Below are 6000 nucleotides of genomic sequence, written 5' to 3' on the forward strand. Positions count from 1 at the left end.
ACTTGGGGGGCTGAGGCAGGAGAATTACTTGAACCCGGGAGGTGGAAGCTGCAGTGAGCCGAGACTGTGCCACTGCACTCCAGCCTGGGCAACAAGAGTGAAACTCTGTCTGAAAATAAATAAACAAACAAAAGATGACTATGGTATATTCACACAACAGAATTTCACACACAGTAAAAACCTAATGAACTACAGTTAAACACACAACATGGATGAATCTCAGAAACCATGAATTTTAAAAAGGAAGTCACATAAGGTCATATGCAATAAACTATCATATTTGTACATTGCAAAGAAACCAGTAAAATGAAACATTATTATTTAGAAAAATAACAATGTAATTTTACTTATTTCATTTTATTTTGAGACAGGGTCTCTTGCCCAGACAGGTGTGCAGTGGCACAATCACGGCTCACAACAGCCTTGACCTCCCAGCTCAAGCAATCGCAATCCTCCCAAGCAGCTGGGACTACAGATGTGCATCCCCACGCCCAACTAATTTATTTTATTTTTTGTAGAGATAGGGTTTTGCTATGTTGCCCAGGCTGGTCTCGAACTCCTGGGCTCAAGCAATCTTTCTACTTTGCCTCCCAAAGTGCTGGGATCACAGACATGAGACACCACACCAGGACCCCTGGTAATTTTGAAAAGGAAAAGTGTTTAAAAACAGTTTAGTGGGAGTCAGGGAGATGGACTGAGGAGTACACATTTAGCTTCAACAGGACTGGTAAAGTTACAATTCTTAAGTTGGGTAATAGTAGGCTTATTCGTTTCATTAAGCTTTAAACATATGTGTATGTGTTTTGAGTGTGTATCATCTAGAATCTCTGGAAAACTAACATTCCAGCTAATCATAAGGTGACATTCCTGATAACTGGGAACGATGCCAAGGAATAAAATCACTTTATTATTACTATTTGATAACTTTTGTAGTAAGAAAATGACAGGTGCCTCGAAAAATTAAAGCAAGGGGTGGGTAAGGGAAGTGAGTGTGGCTAAAAAAGCAACATGAGGAATCCTTATAGTGCTGAATATGTTCTTTATCTTAACTGTATCAACATAAATACCCTGCTTATGATATTACACCATCGTTTCAAAAGATGTTACCATTGGGAGAAACAGGGTTAGGTGTATATTAGATTTGTGTTATTTCTTCCAACTGCATGTAAATCTAAAACTACTTCAAAATAGAAGTTTACTTTTAAAAACAACAATAGAAAAAGGTCCTTTTAGTCCTGGATTTCTCCACCTTGGCACTACTGACATTTTGCAGCACCTAATTATTTCTTGTGGGTCTGTCCTGGGAATTGAAGGGTAGCATCCCTGGCCTCTATCCACTAAATGCCAGTAATGTGCCTCCATTCGTGACAACCAAAAATGTCTCCATACATGCCAAATGTCCTCAGGGGGGGAAAATTGCCCCAGTTGAGAACCAGTGCTCTAGTCATAAAAGCCAAGAAGAGATATGAAAATGTTCCTAATTGAAGAAGATGAAAGAGATATAACAACTAAACGCAATACTTGATCCTGGACTGAATCCTGTCCTGGAGGGTAAAGAATGCTATAAAGAACATTATTAGGCCAATTAACAAAATTGAAATTAAATGGTAGATTAAATAAAAGTATTGTATCAATATTAAATATACCTAAGTTGGTAACTGTAGCGTACTTACGTAGGAGATTACTGCTATGCTTAGGAAATACATACTGAAGTATTTAGGGGAAAAGGATCGTGATGTATGCAATCTACCATCAAATGATTCAGAAAAAAATATATAGAAAGATATATACACGTGAATAGTATATATATCTGTGTGTATATGTATTTAATGTATATATTGACATATATAGACATATCTACGTAGCAGGTGGATCTGATTAAAGAGTATGCAAGTGTGTTCTTTGAACTATATTATTTTTGTAACTTCGCTGTATGTTTAAACTAATTACAATTCAGGTGTGGGGTTTAAGTGGAAGAAAAAAAAAAAACTTTTGGCCGGGCACGGTGGCTCACGCCTGTAATCCCAGCACTTTGGGAGGCCGAGGCGGGTGGATCACGAGGTCAGGAGATTGAGACGATCCTGGCTAACACGGTGAAACCCCGTATCTACTAAAAATACAAAAACAAAATTAGCCGGACGTGGTGGCGGGCACCTGTAGTCCCAGCTACTCCCGCCTGGGCGACAAAGCGAGACTCCGTCTCAAAAAAAAAAAAAAAAAAAACTTTTATAAATCCTAAAGGCAGGTTTCACAGCAGTAGTACAGCATAAGTGATAAACATCCCAAGAAGATAATGACTACTAACGGGATAAATTCCTACTTCAACCCCAAGACATTCGTTGGAAAGAATTATCTACCTTCAGCCTCTCTCTCTCTCCTTGCCTACTTTCTGGAGGTGACCCCCTGAACAGTGCGGGACAGAAAATTAATCTATCCCATTAAAAAAAAAAAAAATTTCTAGGAAGTGACTCAATAAACCTACATCTCCGCTCGATTTCTCCACAAATCACTGAGGCATCTTCATCCTCAACAATTAAGAAGCAAAATCGAGGAAAGCATACAAGTGTTTCAAAGAAAACCACTTATGCACTCAGCTGAGCAAGAACGTTAAGTGGACTAGAGAAGAGACAACACGGAATGTCTAGGAGGAGTGAGTAAAAAGGAAGGACTAAAAAGAGATAAATCAGGAGCCAGTCTGAGAGAGCTAGAATGCGTATGCCCGCCAGAAAAAAAAGTATTCCAATGAGTGCGAGTGTGTCAGCGGGAGAGGGGTAGCTCACCTGGCTGTGGTAAGCAGAGGGTGCTGAGTGCCCACCAGCTTCCGCACCTGCATAGCGATGTTGCTGAGCTCGTCGCTCAGCAGGCAGCGAAGGCTCATGAAGGACGTGGGGTACCCCACGATCTTCTCCGCCTCTGACACTACCTGATTCCAGTGGGCCGGGGACTTGGAGGACCGACCACGCCAAGAGCCCACCGAGGAGATGGTGTCGAGGGACGGGGACCACCACAGGCGACGCGGGGAACCCGAGGCTCCAAGATAACGTGGCAAGTGCAACAGCAGCTGCCGAAAGTTCATGGTTTGAGTCTGGAAGGGTCTGGGACCTGGGGGTATCCAGAAGTGCCGCGGGAAACAAACCAGGGGCAGAGGAGGAACTTACAGTAACTAAAAGGAAGCGGCAATTCTTGACCCTCAGAGTAAGGTGGCTTCCTGGAGCAGTGACCAGAAACGAACTTTAACTGCTGCTTTCTGCAGCCCAGGCTGGGCAAACAACAGTCCCAGCTCAGCACTGCCCCCGGCCACCCGGGGTAGAAACCACAGCCACTGCCTATGTGGAGGACGCCATATTGGAGGCATGGAATGCGGCCTGCCGTAAAGACAGAGGCGGGTTGTTAAGTATACTCTCTACTTTACGGCGTACCCGAGAACGCCCCCGCAGGGGCGGTGCTTTGGAGGTGAACCCGGGTTGGGAGGTTCAGCTCCTCCCACCCCGCCGCTCTGGGCCAGCAAAGGTCGTCAGTGACAGGGATCAGTTGTGGGCGGCGAGTGGTCCCTCTGCACACGGTATCTGGGCCGAGTCTGGATTCATTAGAGTCCCCGGCGCCCAGCACTGAGTGGCATGCATAAGTATTGGTGTCACGAACAACGGTCAGCCCCCGGCTTGCCCGCAAGGAAGGGCGTCGGGCGGAGGCACCAGTTCCTCCCGGAAGCTTTTTGTCGCTATCGCCACCAGCCCCTGGCAGTGGCAGTGGCCGTGGCCGGGCGTGAAGGCGGCCTCTCGGGCTGCATGCCTCCTGGAGCTGGGGCCACGTCTCAGTGGTGGAACGCCTAGTCGGGGCGTGGGGCTGAGCCCTCGTGTCCTCAGGGCCCAACCAGACATAAGGCAGCGTGGTGCGGCGGAAAGGGGTCCCAAGGAAAGTCCTCGGATCCAACTTCGAATTACCGGCCTCCTCGCTGAGCCTTGGGAGAAACAGCGGTGCCTCCTTCCCGCGGGTGCGGAGAGGAAGAATGAAACGTTGCCTACTCCCTGCCTCTTATCTTCCTCTTTATGCCTAGCCTGGAGCTCAACTCCAGGATTGAAGACTATCGCTGACCGGAGTGCTTTTCACGTACTAGTTCATGTATTACTTTATTTAATCCTCAGAACAACCTCATTAAGTAGATAATATTAGTATTCTCCGTGTTTTGTATGAGGAAACTAAGGTGCAGTCGAGTCGCGTAAGTTCCCTAAGACCACACTAGACAGGGATGTGAGCCCAGACAATCTGGTTTCAGAATCCGTATTCTAACCGAAAGATTACACCGTCTAAATAATAGGCTCCCATCCACTCTTTTCTCCTTATTGCTGAGAGGAAACAGTCAATATGATTATCTTTTAAGTAATGCTACCTATTTTTTTTTCAAATGTGCCTAAGATCTTACCTCCTTTCTTATCACCTAAAACAGGTGTTAACCGTTCTTAATAAAGGATATATTATCCATTTTTTACACTCTTAAAAATAGCTTATAAAACTCTCTAAAACTTTCAAAATCCTTCCAAATTCATGGTATTTTATTTTTATTTTTTATTTATTTTTTGAGATGGGTCTTGCTCTGTCACCCAAGCTGGAGTACAGCGGCGCGATTTCAGCTCACTGCAACCTCCGCCTCCCAGTTTCAAGCAATTCTTGTGCCTCAGCCTCCCAAGTGGCTGGGACTACAGGCGCCTGCCACCACGCCCGGCTAACTTTTGTATTTTTAGTAGAGACTGGGTTTCACCATGTTGACCAGGCTGGTCTCAAACTCCTGACCTCGAGTGATCCGCCCACTTCGGCTTCCCAAAGTGCTGGGATTACAGGTGTGAGCTACCAGCTACCATGCCCAGCCTGTCAGTATTTTTTAAATGAGCATCATGCATAATACTGTACCAGCCTCTTGAGCTACAAATAAAGATTGGGACTTAAAGAGTAGTTGTTCACTTTGCAAAACAAGATGATTTTCTCTACAAAAGATTTAGCTTCATACTCTCCCTTTGGCAAGTTTTCCTTGTGATTTAAATTTTTTATTTACAAAAATTCAGTTTAGGTGTAACTTTTCAGGGGCACATTTTATTTAACATGAATTGTGATTATAAGTATCAAACACAGTCTATGCCCTTAAAGTAAGTAAGCTGAAGTTTGAAAATAATTCCTGTGAAAGAGATAAACTCTTGGCAACAAAATTCAGGTCTGTTAGGAGATGAAAATAAATATGGAGAGTGAGATACTTTACCATTCCAGGAGATGAAAATAAATATGGAGAGTGAGATACTTTACCATTCCAAAAAGTTCCAAGGCCAGAGCTTCTGGGTTATCCAAGGTGAAAGAAGTCATGAAAATACAAAGATAGATAGAGACTAATGTGATATATTGTGCACCTGAGGCTGTTTCTTCAGCCTCATGGTACCTTAAGGGTAACTTTTCACGCAATTTCCTCAATAGCAATTCACAGCATGTACTTTAATTTCTCCACAGAAGCCAAGTGCATTATTCTCTGGTCATACTCTATTAACCAAGTTTTTGATTATTCATGGGACTTTGGGTCCCATTTACTTTAAATAATCAGCATTTTCCTTTATACTTACAGTTAAAAGGTTGCATTATACTTAATGATAATCAGTTTTTAGAAGGTTAAAATGGTATTTGTTCTTTAATCTCCCAGATAAATATATAATTCCTTAGAGTCTTTATGATTAAAGAAATTTCTGAATTGCTAGTGACTTTTGGAGAAACAGGGAGGGGGAGTATCTGTGATTCTGCCCTTCCTCTGCCACTGATAATAGTTATATTAAAGATGTCTGTGAATGTGTGCATAAAGAAAGAATACAGCAGGATTTCTCAGCCTTGGCATTTTTGGCGTTTTGGACCAGATAATTCTTTGTTGGGGGAAGGGGGGCAGTCCTGAGTATTGTACGGTGTTGAGTAGCATTCCTGACCTCTACGTACTAGATGTTAAGCAGCACCCCTTTCCAAGTTGTGACAACG

General features: G+C 43.5%; 1 protein-coding gene across 15 annotated transcripts in view, besides 3 other annotated features; it reads right to left on the reverse strand.

The window, feature by feature from the left end:
- PDSS2 (decaprenyl diphosphate synthase subunit 2) overlaps positions 1-3355 on the reverse strand; it is a 307003-nt gene extending 303648 nt beyond the window's left edge. For 12 of the 15 annotated variants that reach the window (XM_047419101.1, XM_047419099.1, XM_047419097.1 and 9 more), the window contains exon 1: positions 2781-3355. In XM_047419101.1, the coding sequence (XP_047275057.1) occupies positions 2781-3076 (296 nt within the window). In that variant the 5' untranslated portion in view covers positions 3077-3355. The remainder of the gene's footprint in view (positions 1-2780) is intronic. The other 3 variants (XM_011535960.4, XM_047419100.1, XM_047419098.1) reach the window with 1 other exon arrangement.
- Positions 3226-3675: an enhancer, noted in NCBI's record as "active region_24903". NCBI's record gives its function as "activates an Ori minimal core promoter by ATAC-STARR-seq in GM12878 lymphoblastoid cells {active_cell/tissue: GM12878}" and the evidence as "EXISTENCE:reporter gene assay evidence [ECO:0000049][PMID:35858748]".
- Positions 3226-4317: a biological region, named in NCBI's record as "H3K27ac hESC enhancer GRCh37_chr6:107780809-107781730".
- Positions 3396-4317: an enhancer, noted in NCBI's record as "H3K27ac hESC enhancer chr6:107780809-107781730 (GRCh37/hg19 assembly coordinates)". NCBI's record gives its function as "activates a minimal SCP1, AML or CMV promoter by ChIP-STARR-seq in primed H9 embryonic stem cells {active_cell/tissue: H9 hESC(primed)}" and the evidence as "EXISTENCE:reporter gene assay evidence [ECO:0000049][PMID:30033119]".

The sequence above is a fragment of the Homo sapiens genome, chromosome 6 (genome assembly GCF_000001405.40).
Source record: "Homo sapiens chromosome 6, GRCh38.p14 Primary Assembly".
NCBI lineage: Eukaryota > Metazoa > Chordata > Mammalia > Primates > Hominidae > Homo > Homo sapiens.